Source organism: Homo sapiens, chromosome 4 (genome assembly GCF_000001405.40).
Source record: "Homo sapiens chromosome 4, GRCh38.p14 Primary Assembly".
Classification (NCBI taxonomy): Eukaryota; Metazoa; Chordata; class Mammalia; order Primates; family Hominidae; genus Homo; species Homo sapiens.
In genome coordinates, this window is record NC_000004.12 from 1,113,577 (window position 1) to 1,134,120 (window position 20,544).

At 41.9% G+C, this 20,544-nt stretch overlaps 2 protein-coding genes, 1 long non-coding RNA gene, 1 other non-coding gene and 1 pseudogene across 5 annotated transcripts in view, besides 1 other annotated feature; 3 read left to right on the forward strand and 2 right to left on the reverse strand.

Annotated features, from left to right (window-relative positions):
• Positions 1-134, reverse strand: part of RNF212 (ring finger protein 212) — a 57,460-nt gene extending 57,326 nt beyond the window's left edge. Inside the window, exon 1 of the mRNA XM_017008040.2 lies at positions 73-134. The gene's annotated coding sequence lies outside the window, so the exon portion shown is untranslated. The remainder of the gene's footprint in view (positions 1-72) is intronic.
• On the forward strand, positions 63-19,399 carry LOC105374344 (uncharacterized). Its single transcript, NR_134676.1, has 3 exons — positions 63-176; positions 18,753-18,864; positions 19,133-19,399. It is a non-coding gene; the product is annotated as an uncharacterized LOC105374344 (long non-coding RNA).
• The window catches only part of LOC124900647 (nascent polypeptide-associated complex subunit alpha, muscle-specific form-like), an 89,556-nt gene continuing 69,074 nt past the window's right edge, over positions 63-20,544 (forward strand). The window contains exon 1 of the mRNA XM_047416477.1: positions 63-176. The gene's annotated coding sequence lies outside the window, so the exon portion shown is untranslated. The remainder of the gene's footprint in view (positions 177-20,544) is intronic.
• Positions 1,621-9,588, reverse strand: TMED11P (transmembrane p24 trafficking protein 11, pseudogene; annotated as a pseudogene). The gene is made up of 4 exons (NR_033768.1): positions 9,542-9,588; positions 3,572-3,697; positions 2,688-2,834; positions 1,621-1,833 (listed from the first exon to the last, which is right to left on the reverse strand). The product of NR_033768.1 is annotated as a transmembrane p24 trafficking protein 11, pseudogene (transcript).
• Positions 5,308-5,437, forward strand: LOC124900184 (small nucleolar RNA SNORA48). The gene has a single exon (XR_007058531.1). It is a non-coding gene; the product is annotated as a small nucleolar RNA SNORA48 (small nucleolar RNA).
• Positions 17,081-17,200: a silencer, noted in NCBI's record as "silent region_15122". NCBI's record gives its function as "represses an Ori minimal core promoter by ATAC-STARR-seq in GM12878 lymphoblastoid cells {active_cell/tissue: GM12878}" and the evidence as "EXISTENCE:reporter gene assay evidence [ECO:0000049][PMID:35858748]".

Genomic DNA, 20,544 nt, shown 5'->3' on the forward strand with positions numbered 1-20,544 from the left:
TCGACGGCAGCCCTGCGCCCGCGCACTGGAGCTCGCGCCCTCCCGCCAACCTCGCGGGTTCTCCCGCAGCACCTGGGAGGGCGCGTGTGACTCGTCTCCCAGGTCGTTTGGGCTGGAGTAGGCGGAGGAACGCACCGCGAGCACCAACGTCCCGCCCCTGTCTTGGCGGTCCTCAGGTGTTTTGTGGAAGCCGGGCCTGGGTGGCGGGCGCGGGGAATGGCGGCTGCGCTGAGGAGGCGTCGCGGCGCGACAGCAGTGGGGGAGGGGGAGGGGGAGCGCCGAGGGCGGGGGATGCGGGCCAGGCCCACCTTGAGGGCCGGGAGCTGGGCCGGAGGCCAGGGCGGCCAGGGTAGTGCGCTGGGCGAGGCAGGGGAGGAGTAGGGGAGAGTGGGCGTGGGGGCCCTGGGGGCCCGGGGAGCGGGATAGGAGGGAGGGAGGGATAAGTGGGTGTGGGAGTTGGGGTGGGAGCGGGAGTGGGGATGTGGGAGTTGGGGTGGGTGTGGGGGCGTGAGGCGGTGGGGGTGGGGTGTGATGAGGCGGTGGGGGTGGGGGGGGCAGTTGGGGGTGGGGGCCAGGCCGCGCTGCACGCTTTGGGACTAGTGTCCAGGTGGCCGCTGGCGCAGAGACCTCAGCACGGGAGGCCTGAGCCTGCTTCCCTCTGAAACGGAAGGCGTAGCTCGGGAAGGACCTCTGCTGCTTCCAGGTTCCAGCATGGGGAAGTGACTTTTTATAAAATTGTCCTCTGCGTGGTTTTGAGAGTTTCCACCCGCTGGGACGCTGCAAAGCTCGGATCGAGAGGCTCAGGCAAGTGCTTGTGCCGGGAGAGCGCAGGGTGAGCGCTCCCGGTAGCTACGGGCCAAGTGACCCCTGCGCCCCGAAAGATGTGAGTAAAATACAGCTGTTTCCAGGGCCTCGTATGAAAACCTTCTTAGTAATTTTATATTGATTACATGTTAACATGATATTTTTGATATATTAGGTTAAATATATATCAGTAGCGTTGATTTTACCCTTTCAAAAAATCCTTTTCAATGTGGAGACTAGAAAACTTAGAATTACGTATGGGCTGGGTGCGGTAGCTCACGCCTGTAATCCCAGCTACTCCGGAGGCTGAGGCAGGAGAATCGCTTGAACGAGGCGGAGGTTGCAGTGAGCCGAAATCACACCACTGCACTCCAGCCTGGGCAACAGAGTGAGACTTCGTCTCAACAACAACAACAGCAAATTAGAATTATGTATGTAGCCCACTTTTATTTCTGTTAGACAGTGCTGATCTCTACCAAGTTTAAAATAGCAAGACCAGCAACGTGGCAAAACCCCGTCTCTACAAAAAATACAAAAATTAGCTGGGTGTGGTGGTGGGCCCCTGGGGTCCCAGCTACTCGGGAGGCTGAGGTGGGAGGATTGCTTGGGCCCTGGAGATCGAGCCTGTGGTGAGCCTGACGGCACCTGTGCAGCAGAGCGAGACTCAGTCTCAAAAATAAGTTTAAGAATAGGATGAGGTGCCTAATCTATCAAATTCAGAAGCTGCATTATAAAAGCATTCTCTCAATGTTATAATGATATAACGTTAATCTCAATCTCTGGTATCTTTGAAATCATAAAAATAATACACATATATGCAGGTATTTTGATTTATTAACTCAAACATTATGCAGATTATTTGTCCTTATTGATAATATTTTAAACAATCTTCTTAGCTATAAAGAAGTCTTTCAGGTACTTCATTTGGAAAATTCCGACTGAGATAAAGATTAATATTTGTGCAAAAGCCCACCATAAAACATTGCTATTTGTATCTTCACTGGTCGTTCGAAAATTTTCTTCACGGTCCTATGCGGAAAAGAAGTAGGTTTAGTGTCATAAAGTACTTAACTCACGATTTTGAGGGGAGGGTTGTTGTGGGCATTCAAGGTATTTAATATTACCCAATTAATATCTTACACCAACGTATCCGTGCAGTCTGCTTTTCTAAACCAGAATCTGTTGCTTAGCCAAGTATAAGAGAGTAAAAATCAACCTTATAAAAGATGGTTTTGTATTTTGGTGTAAAATATCAGGAATTTGACCTATTCGTATATTTTATTTGCTACCATCAGGCAAAGCGAATATTACCCAATAGTGGTAGATTTCATCATTTGAGTCCAGCCTTTATGCCAGGCATTAGGCCAAGCACTTGCATGCCTTATTTGCTTGTCACACCTGTCCTTATCTTCCTGTTAAGGAAACTGAAGCTTAGAGATGACACAGATTACTGACAGGTAGTTGAGATTTAAGCCCATATCTGACCAATATCCACTTAGTGTAGTGACTCAAAAAGCACCTAATGTCATAAGAATAAAATTGTGATTTGGAAAGTGAGCATACGTGAGCCTCTACAAATACATGGGATGCATTTGGAAGCATTTATTCATTCTGCAAGCTCACACCCTGTGCTACTGGGGACTTCGTTAGGCACAGGGCATAAAAAGATGAATGAACTGAAATTCTGTTTCCTAGAGGAGTTCATAGTCCAGCCGACAGAGTGAAGAAAAATTGCTCTCTCTAGTCCCTGTGAATCCACACCGTTCTACCTCAGAGAGAAAGTGAGGAACAGGCAGTTCACTCTTTCCTTGGTCCAGGGGCTTTGTGTTGAGAAATGCGTTGCTGGTAGCAAGAGATAAAATAAGTTGAATAGGCAGACTGACCCTTTGATAGTTTTGTTCTTTGACTATTTGCTCAATTTGTTCAATTAGATGTTCAAGCTTGAAGGTAAGTTCATTAACTTTGTCCTTTGCTTGAGCAATGGCCGCATCAAGGTCGTGTTCTCCAACTCGAATATCTAAGTGGATCCGCTGTACAAACAGTAAAAAGGAAAAAACGGCATGTTTTTAAAAACAGCTCCACTCTTTTTCCTTACTTTCTCACTCTTGTATCCTCGTCCTTCCTTTTTCTCCCTTCCCCCTTTTCATAAGCAGGGCGTTGCTTCACTCTTCAGCTCCCTTTTTTCCCTCACTGCCACTCTTTCTTATTCTACTTGGTAGTCTTTCTTGTAATAATAATGCATTAAATGGTAAATTACTGACCTTATAGTATATTTATACCTTCCTGAACATGAAATTAACTATTAGGTAAATGACTTTGGTGTGGAGAAAATTTGATTAATGTTCTGAGGGAAATTTTCTTTACATATAACTAAATTTCTTAAGCTAAAGTACAAATTGTTTCCATCAGTTCCGAACACATTTAGAAAATAGCCAGTCACCATCTACCGTGTAAGAGTTTTATTTATTAGAATTCCATTATTAATTCACCCTTCAGCCTTCACTTGTTTTCAAGCCTCAATAATCACAGCTCTTTTAACCTTCCCTCACAGCTCTTATTTTTCAAACCCTTTAATCAACTTCATGGCTCTCCTTTGAACCCCTTCCAAGCTCTCCAGCTCCCTCTTTGGTTGCTGCGCTGAGATCTGGGCATAGGACTTTAATAAGTTTCTAGCCAGTTTGAGTGTAATGGTTCTGCATACCAATGTCATGCTTGAATAGTGCTGATGCTGTGTTCATCAACAAGGACATGGGAAGCATATACTCACCAGCCTACTCCCTCCAAATTACACAAGCCTTGTAGAATTAGATTCTAAGCAAATGGTGTGTTCACCAGGTGAATGTGAAGTAAAATAGAATGTCCCTTGCGGGCCGTATAACTTCGACAATATTACCTAGGATTAAGGATTTCCATAAATTGAGTTTATTATTTTCTAGTTTCCATTCTTAAAAATAAATCTCTACAAATTATCTAGCAAAAAATTGTGCCATTCCTAAAACAAGAAATCAAATGGCTAATAAACATGAAAAATATTCAGCCTTGCTAGTAATTAAAAAATTCAAACTACAGTAAGATAGCCCTTGTTCATTGTCAGATTGACAAAGATTTAAAAGTATCCAGGGATAGTATGGACAACTTTTGTCCCACAGAATATCCAAGAACTGTGGGACAACTACAAAAGGTGTAACTGGACACATAATGGGAGTACCAGATGGAGGAGAAACAGAGAAAAGAAGAAATATTTGAAGCAATAATTATTGAGAATTTTTCCCCAAATTAATGTCAGATACCAAGCCATAGATTCAGGAAGCTCAGAGTATACCAAGGAGGATTAATCCCTTCACCCCCTCAACCCCAAAATGAAACCAAAAAGCTACACCTAGGAATATCATTAAAACTGCAGAGAAGCAAACACAAATAAGAAAATCTTGAGCAGCCAGAGGGGGGAAAACCTTACTTACAGAGTAGCAAACGTAAAAGTTGCATCTGACCTGTCCTCAGAAGCTATGCAAGCAAGAAGAGAGTAGAGTGAAATATTTAATGTATTGGGAATAAAAAAATGACCAACCTAGACTTTGGTATCCTGCAAAATTATCCTGCAAGAGATAAGGGAATAAAGCCTTTCTCAAACAAGTAAAAACTGAAGGAATTTTTTGGTGGTAGATCTGCCTTGTAAGAAGTGTTAAAAGAAGTTCTTCAGAAAGAAGGAAAATGATGTAGGTCAGAAACTCAAATCTGCATAAAGGATGAGCATTAGAAAAGTGGAGGTAAAATTAAAACTTTCTATTTTCTTATTCTTAACTGACCTAAGAAATATCACTTTATTCAAGATAATAGCAACAATGTATCGAATGGTCATATTTTACCTGTAAGTGAAATTAATGAAAGCCATGATAAAATCAGGGGCAGCAGGGAAGAATTAGGAATATTTTGTTAATAAAAGGCACTTGCGGCTGGGCATGGTGGCTCACACCTATAATCCCAGCACTTTGAGAGGCTGAGGCGGGTGGATCACCTGAGGTCAGGAGTTCAAGACCAGCCTGGCCAGCATGGTGAAACCCTGTCTCTACTAACAAATGCAAAAAATAATTAGCCAGGCGTGGTGGTGGGTGCCTGTAATTCCAGCTACTCAGAAGGCTGAGGCAGGGAGAATTGCTTGAACCTGGGAGGCAGAGGTTATAGTGAGCTGAGTTCACGGCAGCCTGGGTGACAGAGTAAGACTCCGTCTCAAAAAAAAAAAAAAGGCACTTCCTGTGAAGTGGTAGTGTATAGTGTTATTTGAAATTCGACTTGGACTAGTTGTGAATGTATATGGCAAACTCTAGGGAAACTTCATATGCTAACAGAGAGCACGGAATCACAGAAAATGCTCAATTAAAACCACAAAAGGCATGAAAAAGAGGAGAAGAAAAAAATAATGAGGGCAATGAATAGAAAATGGTAACAAATATGGCAGATACTAATCCAGCTATATAAATCATCACTTTAAATGTTAATGGTCTGTGTCCTTGGCCTGGGTAGAGTGGCACCTAGTTGGTGGTGCCCATATTAGCCAGGGACAAAGCAACCCTTTGTTCATCCCAGCTTGGCTTTTGATCTGTACCTATACCTGGTTCATGCCTTAGACACATGGAAAAAAAATGTCAATGGTCTAAATACACCAGTTAAAAAATAGAGTGGATCAAAAAAATGAGACCCAATTATATGTTGTCTATAAGAAAATCATTTGAAATGTAAAGACACATAGATTAAAAGTGAAGGGATAGGGAAAGATACATCATGGTAACCTTAATCAAAAGAAGGCTGGAGTAGCTGTATTAATTTCAGGCAAAGTAGACTTCAGAAGCAATGGAAATTATCAGGGATAATTACATAATGGAGCAATACATAATGATAGGAGGGTGAATTCTCTAAGGAGACAACAATCCTTAACATGTATGCACCTGACAATAGAGCATGAAAATATGTGAAGTAAAGCCTGATAGAACTGCAAGGAAAAAATAGATGAACACTTTATTATAGTTGGAGTTTTCAGCCCCTTCTGTCAGAAATGGACAGATCCTGCAGGCCAAAATTAGTAAGGACATCGTTGAACTCAGTGGCACCATCAGTTGACTGGAGATAATTGACACCTATGATTACTTTATCCAGTGATAGCAGAGGACACGTTTTTCTCAAGTTCACATGGAACATTCGTCAAGATAGACCACATTCTGGGCCATATATCACACCTTAAAGAATTTAAAATAATAGAAATCATACACTGTATGTTTTCAGGCCTCAATGGAATTAAACTGGAAATCAGTAACAGAGAGATAGCTGGAAAATCGCAAAATACTTGGAGATTAAACAACACACTTCTAATTAACACATGGGTCAAAGAAGAAATCTCAAGACAAAATGAAACTACAACTTACCAAAATTTGTGGGATGCAATAAAAGCAGTGACTAGAGGGAAATTGAAAGCATTGAATCCATATACAGTTGGCTGTCTATAATGCCAGGTTTCACATCCATGGATTAAACCAGCCATGGATTGAAAATATTTGAAAAAAATATATGTGACAGAAATAATACAAGTGAAAAACTACAGCATAACAACGATGCAGCATTTACATTGTATTAGATATAAGTAATCTAGAGGTGATTTAAATTAATGGGAGGATGTGTACTAGTTACCTGCAAACTACACCATTTCATATAAGGGACTTGAGCATCTTCAGAATTTTGTATCTTTGGAGAGTCTTGGAACCAATGCCCCACAAATACCAAGGGATGACTGTATTAAAAAACGAGATCTAAAATTAATAATCTAAGCTTCCACCTTAGGAAACGAGAAAAAGAAGAGAAAATTAAATGCAAAGTAAGCAGCAGAAGAAAAATAATAAAAACTATAGCAGAAATCAATTAAAAACAAGAAATAGAAAAAAATCAACAAAACCAAAAGCTGATTCTTAGAAAAGATTTAAAAGCTTCTAGCCAGGCTAAGAAAAAAATGAAGATGACACAAACTACAAATATTAGAAACAGAAGAAGGGGCATTACAAATCCCATGGACATTAAAAGAATAATAAAGGAATACTGTGAACAAGTCCATGCCCACAAATTTGATAACCTAGGTGAAACTGACCAATTCCTTGAAATACGCAATCTAATAAAATACAAGAAGTAGGCAGTCTGAATAGGCCTATATCTAGTAAGAGGTTGAATCAATAGAAACTTTCCAAAGCAGAAAGCACCAGGCCCAGATGGGTTCACTGGTGAATTCTAACAAACATTTAAGGAAGAAATTGTGCCAGTTCTCTACAATCTCTTCCAGAAGATAGACACAGAAGGAATACTTCCTGATTCATTTTATGAGGCCAGCATTACCCTAATACCAAAACCAGACAAAGACATTATAAGAAAACTACTGATCATTATATCTCATGAAGATAGATGCAAAAACCCTTAACAAAATATTAGCAAATGAAAATCCAACAATATGTAAAAAGAATTATATACCACAACCAAATGGGTCTTATTACAGATATGCAAGACTGGTTTAACATCAGAAATCAATTAGTGTAATTCATCACATCAATAGGTGAAAGAAGGAAAAATCATACCATCATATCAATAGATGCAGAAAAAACATTTAACAACAGCCAACACCCATTTATGATAAAAATGCATCAAACTAGGAATACAGGGGAACTTAATTTGATGAAGAACATCTACAAAAAACCTATAGCTAATACACTTACTGGTCAGAAACTAGAAACCTTTTCTTGGTGGACTGGAAGTCCTAGCTAATGCAGTAGAAGGAAATAAAGAGTTTGGGAAGGAAGAAATAAGCTGTCTTTGTTCACAGGTGACATGACTGTTTATGTATAAACCCAAAAGAATTGACAAACTGCCAGAACTAGTAAGTGATTATAGTAAGGTTGCAGGATACAAGATGAATATAAGAAAGTGAATCACTTTCCTATATACTAACAATGAACAAGTGGAATGTGAAATAAAAAGCACAGTATCATTTACATTAGCACGCTCCCTCAAATTACTTATTTATAAACCTAACAATATGTGCAAGACCTATATGAGGAAAACAAAACTGGTGAAAGAAATGGAGAGAAGTCCATGTTCATAGATAAGAAGACTTATTATTGTCAAAATCTCAGTTCTTCCCAACTTGTTCTATAGATTCAACAGAATCCCAATACAATTCTAGCAAACTATTTTGTGAATATTGACAAGCTGATTCTAATATTTATATGGAGAAACAGAAGACCCACAATAGCCAACACAATATTGAGGGAGAAGAATAAAAGAGGACTGAGACTAACCAACCTTAAGATTTACTGTGAAGCTACAGTAATCAAGACAGTGTGATATTGGTGAAAGAATAGACAAATAGATCAATGGAACAGAATAGAGAGTTCAGATGTTGTTTCAGGCAATTTCGATTTTCAAAGAATGAGTCTTCTATGTGTTTTAAAAAAAACAGTGAATGGGTTTTAATGTGATAGTTTTTGGCCCAACTAAAATTTGGCTCTGGGTTTAATGTGCTTTGGAGACATTTTCAGATGGTCATTAAGGATTATTGGGAAAGTATAGAATTGGGGTTTGATATAACAAGGAACAGAAAGTATGGGCTAGAAGCATAGATGTGGGTGTGTAGGGAGGAGAGGGTAGCTGTCTTGACAAGTGGCTGGAGCTAGGAAAACAGTCCCAGTGGAATTATTGTCAGTGAGGTGCCAAATGTGCCGAGAGATAACTATTGAACAGGTGAAAATCAAGTGTCCAAAAATCCAACTGGATTGGAGTCTTCAGCACAGCTCTCTGTCTCCACATAAGTGGGGGTGTCACAGTGTCTTCCTGAGCTTGGGCCAACCAGTTATCCAGTTTCATGAGAATGGGAGTCCTGTCCTGCCTACTTCAAGCACCCTTTTCTTGCCAGCCAGAAAGAGGCCTATTCTATTCTACAAGTCTTTGGTCCACCACCATTCTGCTACCCCATGAGCACAGCTCCAGGACTAGATTTGAGTTAGTGGGCTGAGAAATTCATTGTCTTGAGCTTACATGGTGGGGGATGGATATCTCTGTTATATCCATTGTATATATGAGAAAACAGCATCAAAGCAGTCAAATAACCCGTCCAAGGTTTTAGCTTATATGTGACAATCCATGCTTGAGTTTGATTCTGACTCCAAAATCCATATTCTTTCCACATTTCCTGGTGACTTTTGTACTCCTCTGCTAACTCCTGGTGAGTAAGAGGTATGTAAGACCAGACAGTCCCAGAGGCTGCTGCATTATTAGAGAACGCCTATGCCAAAATGGGAGGAGGGAGGAGTTGGCTTATCTGACCCTTGTGCTTGGGTGGGGCTGCAGCACCAGCAAAGTAGATGGGGCCTGGTTGGTGTAAAACCACAGGATGCTTTGGCCTTAAGGTCCCTTTTGCCTAGCAAGATCGGCAAACCTGAAGATGACAAATCTGGGAATCCTCATTTCATTTTTTAAAAGCTTTTTGTATTATGAAGCCTGTCTCTGCTTCTCAACTAAACTATAGGCTCATTGAGGGCAGGCACTTTCTATGTTTTTATGTCATGCTATCATTCAGTGCTATATGCATTAAAAATTGTTAATTCTGGTTAGTGAGTGCTTCTGTAGAGATTTTAAAACTGGGCTACATGATGCCTGAATTTCTGGCAAATGAAAAATTTTAGTAACAAAGTATAAAAGAATGTTTTACCTCATCATTGTAAGTTGTAATAGTCACAAACATTCCCAAACCAGGAGCAGATTCAAGGAACGTATGTCTGCCTATGTCCCATTGCTGTATCTTGAAAGTCCCTGTTTCAAAAATGTAAGACATTACAACATGTAAGAAACAGTAATAATGTTTATTAGATGTTACTGTTAAATTAAATGAATTTATCTTTCTCAGTTTACCTAAATCGTAAAACACTCTTAGTCTGAACAGCTATAGCTTGGTGATTAGGTATCTAACAGAGTAGAGGACTCTGGAGTATAGAGGAAGACTTGAGTTCTTCATTTCTCACTCTCGTTTACTAGGTAACTTGACAAATTATTTCACCACTCCAAGCCTCCATTTCCTATTCAGAAAAATAGGGGTAATATAGATCCCTCTCAGATCTCAGTTGTGAGAACTGCCGAAAATAAGCCTATGAAAGGTTTCCACCTAGAATGTAAACTCCATGTGAGCTGCCACTAAGAGATGGAACTCTTGGACCTTTTCCGAAACCTCCCCAGTAGTTCTCCCTGCTTTAACTTCTTTCTCCTGTAACTTGATCCCATACACTTCCAGCAGAATTCCTTGCTAAAATATCAGTGTAGTCATGTCAAATCTTTCGTTTCATTGTCTCCAGAGGTTTCTGCTGAAGGTTGGATCTGAAGGAGTCTCTGGCTATCTCCCATTAGTATGTGTTAGCTATCATATGACTTAACTTCCCTCATGTGCCCTTGAAAGGTACAGTGGGAATGAAAACCAGGTAACATTTGTTGGACCCATATTATGCGCCAGGCACTGTGCTAAACACTTAACATGCATCACTCTTGTATAGATTTATGTAACTATAATATGTGCTTATAAAGTACAAATATTATAAAATTTTATAAAAGTGGGAGAAAAGGCACTACACTGTCTGGGTTTGAATCCTGACTCTACTGCTTGCTAGCTATGTGGGCAAATTAATTTTTCTATACTTTAGTTTCATTATATCTAAAATCGTTATAAAAGTAGTATTTACCAGCTGAGCACGGCGGCTCATGCCTGTAATCCCAGCACTTGGGGAGGCTGAGGCAGGCAGATCACTTGAGGCCAGGAGTTTGAGACCAGCTTGGCCAACATCGCGAAACCTCATCTCTACTAAATATACAAAAACTAGCCGGGCGTGGTGGCGCATGCCTGTAATCTCAGCTACTCAGGAGGCTGAGGCATGAGAACCGCTTGAAGTGGGAGGCAGAGGCTGCAGTGAGCTAAGATCGTGCCACTGCACTCCAGCCTGGGTGACAGAGGAAGACTCTGTCTCAAAAAGAAAAAAAAAGTAGTATTTACCTATGTAGGGTTATTGTCATGAAGAGTCAGATGTTTGTAAATTGCTCCATTAGAATGGTGCTTGACATAGCACTGAATAAATGTGTTATATGTAAATATATATAGATAACACGTATAAATTATACATATATACAGTTGTGCCTCAGTATCCATGAGGGATTGGTTCCAGGATGTCCTCAGGACACCAAAATCCACAGATGCGCAAGTTCCTTATACTAAATGGCATAGTATTTGCATATAACCTATGCACATCCTCCCATATACTTTAAATAATCACTAGATTACTTATAATGCCTAGTACTTAAATGCTGTGTAAATAGTTGTTATACTGTATTGGGTTTTTATTTGTATTTTTATTTTTGTATTGTTATTTCTTATTATTTTTTCCCAAATATTTTCCATTTGCATTTGGCTGAATCTGCCAATGCAGAATTTGTGGATATGGAGGGCCCGCTGTATACACTCACACACTTTTTAGTAACCGAGGTGATTTTTCCCTTACTACCACATTATGTTATCTCCATCTGGAGAAAGGAAATTCCGTGCAGGGACATATGCAAAAGTCCTGAGGGCAGGAGGATGCTTGGAATATTCAAGGAGCAGCAGAATGGCTGGAGTGAGGTTAGCAGGGAAAGAATGGTAGGAGGTGGGGTTGAAAAGATAGCAGGGGCCAGATCATAGAGAGTCCCGATGTCCATTGTAAGGATTTGGGGAAGCAATTGGGTAGAGAAGTGACATGATGTGACTTTCCTTTTAAGTTTCTTATTGTTTCTGTTATGTGGAGAAAAGGATGAAGAAGGGTCAAGGGTGGAAGCAGTGACACTATTGTAATCTAAGTGGCTTAGACTATGTGATTATAGTAGAGGTTGTAAAAAGTTGTTGGTTTCTGTACTATTGTATTTTTTTAATTTTATTATTATACTTTAAGTTTTAGGGTACATGTGCACAACGTGCAGGTTTGTTACATATGTATACATGTGCCATGTTGGTGTGCTGCACCCATTAATTCGTCATTTAGCATTAGGTATATCTCCTAATGCTATCCCTCCCCCCTCCCCCCACACCACAACAGTCCCTGGTGTGTGATGTTCCCCTTCCTGTGTCCATGTGTTCTCATTGTTCAATTCCCACCTATGAGTGAGAATATGCGGTGTTTGGTTTTTTTTCCTTGCGATAGTTTGCTGAGAATGATGGTTTCCAGTTTCATCCATGTCCCTACAAAGGACATGAACTCATCCTTTTTTATGGCTGCATAGTATTCCATGGTGTATATGTGCCACATTTTCTTAATCCGGTCTATCGTTGTTGGATATTTGGGTTGGTTCCAAGTCTTTGCTATTGTGAATAGTGCTGCAATAAACATGTGTGCATGTGTCTTTATAGCAGCATGTTTTATAATCCTTTGGGTATATACCCAGTAATGGGATGGCTGGGTCAAATGGTATTGCTAGTTTTAGATCCCTGAGGAATAGCCACACTGACTTCCACAATGGTTGAACTAGTTTACAGTCCCACCAACAGTGTAAAAGTGTTCTTATTTCTCCACGTCCTCTCCAGCACCTGTTGTTTCCTGACTTTTTAATGATTGCCATTCTAACTGGTGTGAGATGGTATCTCATTGTGGTTTTGATTTGCATTTCTCTGATGGCCAGTGGTGATGAGCATTCTTTCATGTGTTTTTTGGCTGCATAAATATCTTCTTTTGAGAAGTGTCTGTTCATATCCTTTGCCCACTTTTTGATGGGGTTGTTTTTTTCTTGTAAATTTGTTTGAGTTAATTGTAGATTCTGGATATTAGCCCTTTGTCAGATGAGTAGGTTGCAAAAATTTTCTCCCATTCTGTATGTTGCCTGTTCACTCTGATGGTAGTTTCTTTTGCTGTGCAGAAGCTCTTTAGTTTAATTAGATCCCATTTGTCAATTTTGGCTTTTGTTGCCATTGCTTTTGGTGTTTTAGACATGAAGTCCTTGGTTTCTGTATTATGTCCCCATCGTACAGGTTGGAAACTGGTTCTCAGATAAAGTCACATAACCAAGAAGTTGTAGAGGCAGAATTAGAACTAAGGCAGTCTGATTCCAAAGCCTGGAGCTACTAGCTCCATTATCACAGTGCCTCCCTGGAAGGCAAGAGAGAGACAATTCCCTGATAGGGCTTGAGAAGGGAATGTGAGGCTGGATATTGGCCACAAGGGCATCCCATGGAATATGTACTCTCTGGGAGACAACTAGAGGGAACACTTCCAGGGATAAGAAAGCTGCAACTAACTTTCAAGCTCTGCCTGCACTGTAGAGTGACCTCAGTCTTAAGGCATCTTTCAAATAGTTCTGGCCCATCTCTCCCGCTCTTCCCATCCCAAAGTTTGTTAACTATATGTGTAATGTGTATTCAGTACTTTTTAGTATGATCCATTTTAAGAAGGTTTTAAAAAAGGTATCACTGATGGTTCTGGACAAGATGGGATAGGTCCATTCTGTCCTATTTCTCCTGCTGATTTCAACTAAAAATCCTGGGCAAAATTTATAAAGCAACTACCAGACGACTCTGAAAGAAGATAGAGTGGCCAAGGACCTCAGGACTCATAGCACAACTCAGCAGTGGGTTATCTGTTTGTTTTCTTCCTCCTGTATATCCTGGTCTGGGTGCTATGGCAGTCTGCAACCTACAATTGCAGACCAAAATTTTGAAAAGAACCTAATGTCTCCAGCCAAAAGATCTGGAATAGGATGCCCTGCAAGATGAAGCTTCTTTGAGTATACCTCCCTGTATTAGGCTGTTCTTGCATTGCTGTAAAGAAATATCTGAGACTGGGTAATTTACAGAGAAAAAAGGTTTAATTGGCTCATGGTTCTGCAGGCTTTACAGGAGGCATGGTGCTGGCATCTGCTTGGCTTCTAGGGAGGCCTCAGGAAGCTGACAAGCATGGTGGAAGGTGAAGGAGGAGCAGGCCATAACATAGCAAAAGGAGGAGCATCAAGACCAATGAAAGTTTCAATAAGAAATAAAAAAAGCAGGAGCAAGCAAGAGAGAGAGTGGGGGGAGATGCCACTTACTTTTAAGTGATCAGATGTTTTGTGAACTCAGAGTAAGAGCTCACTTATCACCAAGGAGATGGCCCAAGCCATTCGTGAGGAATCCACCCCCATGATCCAAATACCTTTCACCAGGCTCCACCTCCAGCACTGGGGATTAAAATTCAACATGAGATTTGGGTGGGGACAAATACCCAAACTATATTACTGCCCTACTCCAGATGAACACCTTAAAGAAATTGCACCCCTCCCACTGGATGCTTCAGCATGGAGACTGTGGGGTGGCGCCCTGTCAACATGCCCACCGAGCACTAAGTGAAGGACAATAAAGAGTCAGTGTCTCTACACTAGAGACTTGGGGAGGATTTCAGAGAAGAGAGAACTGGAGAGAAAAATCTTTAACTCTGTGTATGAAGTCCTGAGCACACCTCTGAGCAGCTCATGCTTGAAACTGACCAGAATCAATAAAGCAGAAACTTTGAGAATTCAACTATGGTGTGGAATACTGCCTAGGTTTCAGATTAACCTCTAGGTAGCACACAAACAGGGTGGATGGAATACTACTCGGCCATAAACAGAATGAATTAATGGCATTTGCAGCAACCTGGATGAGATTGGAGACTTATTCTAAGTGAAGTAACTCAAGAATGGAAAACCAAACGCTGTATGTTCTTACTCATAAGTGGAAGCTAAGCTATGAGGATGCAAAGGCATAAGAATGACATAATGGACTTTGGGGACTCGGGGGAAAGGGTGAGAAGGAGGTGAGGGATAAAAGACTACAAATTGAGTGCAGTATACACTGCTTGGGTGATGGGTGCACCAAAATCTCACAAATCACCACTAAAGAAGCTACTCGTAACCAGACACCACCTGTTCCCCAGTAACCTATGGAAAAAAATTTTTAAATAAATTATAACAATGCCTGATACGCTTTTCATTGTATGCAGAGGTAATATTTAAGACAACTATGTTATAAAGAATGGGAGAGCAAAGGGACTTAAATGGTGGTAAGGTTTCTGTATTTCTCTTGAAATGGTAAAATATTGATATTACTAGACTGATAAGGATGTGTATGATAATCCCAAGGGTAACCACAAGTAAAAATTATAGAAAAAGATAAAGCGAACAACACTATAGGTAAATCAAAATAAAGTAGTACAAAATGTTCAAATAGCCCACAGGAAGGCAGGAAATGGAAAACGGGAATAAAAAACAGGGGAAGAATAAAAATAAAATAATAAAACGGCAGACCTAAATCTTGACATCTGTAATTACATTACATGTAAGTGGTCTAAACAGACAAAGATTATCAAAATAGATTTTTTAAATGACCCAATTATAATGCAGTGTACAAGAAAATCACTTTGAATATAGTGCTACAGGCAGGTTAAAAGTAAAAATATGAAAAAAGATATACCACTTTGACATGGGTTTTTAAAAATCTTGAGTGCCTATATAAATATCAGACAAAGTAGGCTTCAGAGGGCTGGGTGTGGTGGCTCATACCTATAATCTCAGTGCTTTGGGAGGCCGAGGCAGGAGGATTACTTGAGGCTAGGGTTTAAGACCAGCCTGGGCAACATAGCAAAACCCTGTCTCTACAAAAAAAAATTAAAAGTTGGCCAGGTGTGGTGGCATGCACCAGTAGTTCTAGCTGCTCAGGAGGCTGAGGTGGGACGAGCCCTTGAACCTAGGAGTTCAAGGTTAACAGTGAGCTATGACTGAACCACTGTACTCCAGCCTGGGCAACAGAGTGAGGCCCTACTTAAAAAAAAAAAAAGTACACTTCAGAGCAAAGAAAATTACCAAGAATAAAGAGAGACATTACACAATAATAAAGGTATCAATTCACCAAGAAGACAACCACCCTAAATGCACCAAACAAGAGAGCTTCAAAACGTGGAGTAAAACTGACAACTGAAAGGAGGAGTAGACACATCCCTGTTTATACTTGGTACTTCTGTACTCCTCTCTTGGTACTTGATAGAACTAGACAAAATCAGCAAGGATGTGGAACAACTAATTAGCATCATCAACCAACAGGACCTACTTGCCATTTATAGAACATTCTCCTATACAGTAGAATACACATTTCTTTTAAAGTGCATTTGAGGCATTCAGCAACACAGGCAACAAAGCCCTAAAGGTGATGAGGCACCTTTGCTGAAGTAGCTGAATGTTCCTGGAGAGAAGCGCACAGTGAGGCTTTCCAAGTCACTTTCCAAATATATCACCACCTAAAAATCACAGTTATGTGTGCTCACTATTCTCTAAAACAACTGGTTCATGTGTGTCTTTTCTCCTTAGCCTCTTTCAGTACTTTCCTGCCCCTACTCCCACTTCTCAGATGGTTACCTTGTGTCTTATGGAAATGGTAAGAGTCTCCACCTGCTGTGGCTTGAATGGCTCCCCTGAGCTCATGTTGCTATTTAATTGCTATTTTACCAGTATTCGGGGTGGAGTCTTCAAGAAGTGATTGGGTCATGAAGCCTTCACTCTCATGAAGGGGTTAAAGCCATTGTGGGAGTGGGGTTCTCATCAAAAAGATAAGTTTGGCCTACTTCTCTCTCTGTCTCATGCACTGACTTGACCTTCCACCGTGGGCTGACCCTTGCCAGATGCTGGTGTCATGCTCTTGGACTCTCCTGCCTCCAGAACTGTGAGCCAAATAAACTTTATAAATTGCCAAGGCTGTGGTACTCTGTCAGAGCAGCAGAAAACAGAATAAGACACCATGTTTTCACCAGCAAATGTCCTAACCCCCCCACGTTTACCCTTTCTGGCTCCCGCTTGTTGGGATGGGTGGGGTTCCCTATTCTGTCAGTGGCCACCCCCTCTTATTTTATAGGATTTTGCTCTTGTTGCTGCCCCCACTTGCCCATATGGAGCTAATCTTGTCAGCATACCCGCATGTTCTGGTGGCCCCCCTTGTCTGTATTCCGTAAGGTACTAGAGGGCAGGAAATGTATTTTATTCCTGTTTCTTTGGCTGTCTAGAGCCTGGCAGTAAACCTAGGGTGGTGTTTGGCTCCTTGGTAGGGGCTCAATACATCTTTGTGGAACGAATGAAAGTGTGTCCTACAGTACATGCTCAGCAAATGATTTTGAATGAGTGAGTGCCAGTTGCCCCCCCTCCTCCCATTAAAATGCCAGTATTCCTGGCATACTACTTTGAGTTATCAGAATGGAGGAAGAGAATTTCTGCTTGATTTTGCCAAGATCCTCCAGCCTTAAGCACACGCCCCCTCAGGTGTCATGCGCCATGGCTGCCACTAGATGGCAGAAGAGAAGCATTGCTCCTGGGGAGAGTAAGCCTGGGGGAGCACTCAGTGCAGTGTAGATGAAATAATCGTGTAACAGGAGGTGTCTGTACAGAACGCAGATATCCACGGATGAGATGCTGTGTCTTGCTTCTCACTGCGTGGTGAGAGAGGCTGCTAGGAACTGGGATGGAGCTTACTAGCTGTGCCGTCTTGGACAAGATACCGAGCTGCTCAGTGTGTTTCCCCACCAGTAAAGCAAGTATAATCATGGCATCTCTCTTAGGGTATGAAGAATATGTGGCTTAATAGTTGTGTGCTATTTAACACAGAGATTAGCACCTTGTAAATGAAGCTCCGTGTAAGTACTTGATACATAATTCTTTACATTATTATTAGGCTTTTAACTCACAAAGTTTTTCTAGCGACATTCCCATTTAACCCCACAACCCTGTTAAGCAGGTCTAACAGTACCCAATTTTAGAGAGGAGGGGCCTGAGGCCTGAAGAGGCTGAGATGACTTATCTAAAATCCAGATAATACGTGGCAGCTCCAAGATTGAAATTTAGCAGGGCTGATTCCCAAATTCAGGGCATTGGCCACTAAAAGCAACACCACTACTCCCTACAGACTTGGATGTGGGGTGTGTGTGTGTGTTGTAAACCAACTCCACATGTTGTTCTTGCAGAGCCTCCAGGTAGAGGCCTTACTCCTCTTGGGTGTTCAGTAAACACTGGGTGCCAGGAGCATCTAGACCCTGTGGGAGGGGAGCTGCACCAGGGATGCAGATGCTGTCCACCAGGCTGCACCTATCCTGGCCTCCCTGGTACCCTGTGCCCACCCTTGATAAGGCAGCCAGCCTTTCCCTGTGATCCCTGGCATGGCTGCCCCATTGGCTCCAGAAGATGAGTCCTTGAGGTTGGCATTGTGGGTCATTTGGGTTGGTATTAGAAAAGTAAAACATTCATTGTAGGGAGTTTAGAAAGTAAAATCTCCATTAGAAGTTTTTGGTATTTCATATTATCCTTTTAGCCTTTTTCCTGTAAGTACATTTTTATATTTTATAAAAAATGAGATCATACTGCACATACTATCCGTAGCTTGATTTTTCCACCTAATGTTTTGTGACTGTCTTTCTGTTTTAAATATTCTTCTGTAAGCTAAATTCAGGTATATTCAGAGAGCTGAAGAAAGACCCAACATTATCTTCCCAGTGTTCAGTATGGAGCTTGGCAGACACTGAGGGTCATTCTGTGTTTGAGGAAAGGATGAGGCAATGGGAGGCCCTGTGCATGGTGGTTTAAGGCAGAATTATCTGGTTGACCCTGGCTCTGGCTCTACCACTCCCAAGCTGTGTGATCTCAGGTGACTTTACAAAACCTCTCAGAAGTAAGACGAGGATAGTAGCAGGCCCTATGTCAGGGTGGTCATGGAGATTAATCAGTGCATTCCCTGAGAACACTGCCTGCCCATGGTCATCACTCAAAATGTGCTAACTACAATTAATTCATGTCTAACTAAGACAGAATGGGGTAAGTGACAGAAGAGGGATGATGTTTACTTAATTTCTTCAATGCCTCCTTATTGATCTTAGAATGAAATCCAGATTCACTAAAGAGTTCCTCAGTCCTCTAGGACCTGGCCCTTTTTTCTCATTGATCATACTGCCTGCTCCTATTCTGAGGGTAACAGGAACCTCGAGGAGGGTAAGTGACATTTAGACTGAGACTCCAAGGGTGAGGGGAGACTTCCAGGCTGGGGGACGGGGTCTGTAAATTCCCACTGTCATGTGGGAGGAAAGATCATCCAGCGGGTCCTGAAATTGGCTGCACGTTGGCGTCATCTGGGGACCTTTACATGCTGCTGATGCTCAGCTTCTGCGCCACGTGCTCTGATTTAGTTGATGAGGTGCAGACCTGGGCATAGAAAGCAGTTGCTTTCAAGAGTAGCTGTGAACATGGTGATCTCTTCTAGAATGTCCCCATTTCCCAGGAGGATATTCTGTTTCCCTATAACGTTTTGAAGAGTCTCAGTAGAAGCAGCCTGTTTTTGACAAAAAGATCGTCAGAGTACAGCTCAGCACATTCTCACAGACAGAATCGCCCTGGTCCAGACATCGTCAGCATCCTGGAAGCTGCCATGCCACCTATCACTACCCCCACCAAGGGAGCCACTACGCTGACTTCTAAATACAGATTATTTTTGTCTGTTGTTGTGCTTTATATAAAAATGTATGCTCTGTGTCTGGCTTCTTTTAATCGACATTTCGTGAGTGCCGTCTGTGTTGCTGTATGCCCATGTAGATCACTGTCATTGCTGTTTAATACTGCATTTTTGAATATACAACTATTCTTATACATTTGCCTATTGATGGGCATGTAGGCAGTGTCCAGTTTGTGGCTATTTCACATCGTGCTGCTATGAAGACTCTCGTGCATGTCTTGTGAGCCAATGCGTGCATTTGTGTTGGACAGTTCCTGTTTACCCGGTCATGGGGTGTGCCCACGTTCAGCTTCGGTAGGTGGGAAACGGTGGTGCCTGCTCACAGCCCACAGTGTGTGGGAGCTCCACATCCACGTGTATGCTTATTTTCTGTTTTGTTCATTTTGGCATTTGGTGAGTGTGTAGTCACATCCCAGTGGGCTTTGCTTTATGTTTTTCCTGATGATTAACAAACTCAAGCACCTTCTCATCCACTTCCTGGCCATTCAGGTCTCCTCTCGTGTGAAGCCTCTTAATCTCCTGCCCATTTTTCTATCCTGTGAATACGGGATAGCCCTCTGTGACTGGTTGGTTGTTTTCAATGTAGACATTATGCACATTTACCTTACATTTATTCTTAGATGTGTGTCATTTTTCATCACCAAAGAGAAACGATTGAAAGGGCAGACACTTCCCCCAAGTCAGCATCTTTAGACACCATGAGTATTAGCAAACGGCCTGTGGTAAGGCCAGGTATCAGCAACACTCCTGGGGTGAGAGCACTTTGCCTTGGCCACAGAGAAGACAGTTGCCGTGACTTGGGCCCACAGGGCTGTAGTGGGCACTGCTGATGACCCCTTGCCCGTAAGGTCCCTTCCTGCTCTCTTAGCCACCCCTGGCTTTGGCATGCTTGACTGCAGCTTGTGGCCTTAAAGGAGGCCTTGGGTGCTGGAGCCATACCCTGCACAGAGGACAGGAAGAGCCTGAGTTGAGGTCTGTGCCTCCTCAGCCTGAGCCAGTGCCAACGAATGGGATGTGAGTACAAATGCCCGGCTCCTTTGCCTGGAGGTGGAACAAGCTGTGGCATATCTTATCCAGATTTTATTTTATTACTGTTTTTTGAGACGGCGTCTTGCTCTGTCACCCAGGTTGGAGTGCAGTGGCGCAATCTCGGCTCACTGCAA